General features: G+C 41.0%; 1 annotated feature.

The window, feature by feature from the left end:
• Window positions 1,022–1,530: an enhancer, noted in NCBI's record as "OCT4-NANOG hESC enhancer chr5:107031758-107032266 (GRCh37/hg19 assembly coordinates)". NCBI's record gives its function as "activates a minimal SCP1, AML or CMV promoter by ChIP-STARR-seq in naive H9 embryonic stem cells {active_cell/tissue: H9 hESC(naive)}" and the evidence as "EXISTENCE:reporter gene assay evidence [ECO:0000049][PMID:30033119]".

Genomic DNA, 2,143 nt, shown 5'->3' with positions numbered 1-2,143 from the left:
CAGGGCATCAGATCTCCCTAGTTAGGGTCAAAGTAACAGTAGCAAAGCTTCCTTTAGATTCACAGCCCCAGGCTACTAACTAAATTGTAGAGGCCTAGAGGCCTGCAGGCATAACCAATTGCATCATGTGGAAAGTGAAGACTCCAACTTGGTTAGGAGGATGAGGAGAGTGTTTCTGTCTCTGAAGTCCCTGGGACTTTAAAAAATTTCAGATGCCCAGGAATTCAACTTGAATTTTCTGGATTGGGCCTAAACAAGTGTTTTCATTTTTTTAAGCTGCCAGTGATTCCAATGTGCAGCCTACCCAGAACTCTGCAGCTTCTCCCAGGCTTCCAGGAGACTATACCTTCTTTTGCCCTTTCCTTAATTGGCCTGTGCTGGCAAAGTGGTGGGCAAATCCCGCTACTAGGGAATTTCCTCCCTGTTTACCCGGCCCCCCACAATTCTGGGGCAAGAGGAGGTGGCGGCTGCAGCAAAGTAAGCTTGTGCATTTGAGCTGAGAATATGTATTTATTGTGAAGGACAACTGAACATTTAAAACAAACAAGAAACCTGAGTAAAACCTGTAAACCAGGTCTGCAACAGCTGTCGGCATCACAAGCACAAAAATGTAGGAAGTTATGCTTGCTTGGCTTGGTACTTTATCACGACATAGAGCCACACAGACACATTTATGCAATCGGTTGCTGTGCCTATTTCGTTTTCAGAGATGCCTACAATGAATCCACTTCCAGACCCTGATGATTTAATTCAACCTGTATTTATGGAGCATCCCCTAGGGTTCGGGTGCTAGGGTCCACCGTAGTGGCTGCTGCACTGCAGAGAAGTTTAGCAGAGTCTTCACTTTCAAGACTGAGTCCAGTAGGGAAGTAACACAGAACCAGAGAAACCTGGGCTGCGTGGAGCTGCTCTCACCCACAGTGTCACATGGCTACATAGCCAGTAGCAGCACCAGTCTCACAGGATAAATTAACAAAAGCATTTTAAATCCTTGTTGCAGTGTCTCTGAAAATCACCTAGAGCTTATACAACCCTCAGCAAGGTTTCTAGGAGTCTTCCTGCCTCCACCCACACTGCCTTCTTCCCTCTTCTCTCTCCAGATCTCAGTATCGCCTCAGCCCTTATCAATATCTCAGTATTTCAATTTCGTCTCAGATCTCAGCATCTTGCACAGCTCGCCATGGTAACAGTTCACTGTTTCCTTTTTCTCTCTTCACTCCCCCAAACTCTAATTCCTAACTCTGGCTTCTGTAAACCTTTTCTTCTGTCTTCCTCCTCCCTCTGGGATTGGTCAGGGCCAGGGCTCCATTTCCTTTAAAATGTAAATTGTGCAGCTCTGCTCTTATTCTCATCACCAGGACAAAAGGCCAGGCTTGGAGCTGCCCAAGCAGCAAGGCTGCTTCTTAGAAGCCTGGTGGAAGGGGAAGGAAAAATGTTATGACTGCTCAAAAATTAACGTATTTGCTCTCTCACTCATGCATATATACAAACATAACTACATAAAGGACCATAGTATCATGAAGTATTGTGGAAGGATTCAGGGATGATTTTGTGTGAGAATGATAGTATGATGTAGAAATAAATGCCAGATGAGTGCCTTTAAATTAACTTTTATTACTGAACACCTTTGCAGCATATTAGTAAATAACATTTTTTTTTAACCGAAGGAATTAAACTGCCTTTCAATATCCCACTGCTGTTCATTTTTCACAATAACAAAATGGAAACTATTGTTTATTGTTCTAATAAGTGTCAGATGTGGAGAGGTATGCCACACTTTTTAAAAGAAAATAAAAACAATATATTTTAGGTCCATAAGAACAATATAATATAGGATATATAAAAGTTTGCAATATTTTTTCTTGTTTGTATTCCTCATTAGACTGGGAACTTCTGAATAGAATGGATTATTTGTTAATAATTGCAACTGGAGCACCCAGTATAGTGCCTAAAATGTGAGAGATCATCATTAACAAATAGATAATACAAGCTGGTATTAACTGAGCATTTGATAAGTACCTGACATTTTTTGCCATTTATATTGTCTGTAGTAAGGATTATGCCACCATAAGATCTTTTAAGGCTTACATCTTCTAGTTTTTTGTTTTGTCTTACTTTTTTGAAAAAAAAATTGTGAGTACAT

The sequence above is a fragment of the Homo sapiens genome, chromosome 5, assembly GCF_000001405.40.
Source record: "Homo sapiens chromosome 5, GRCh38.p14 Primary Assembly".
Taxonomy (NCBI): domain Eukaryota; kingdom Metazoa; phylum Chordata; class Mammalia; order Primates; family Hominidae; genus Homo; species Homo sapiens.
This window is presented reverse-complemented; position numbering and strand designations above follow the sequence as displayed.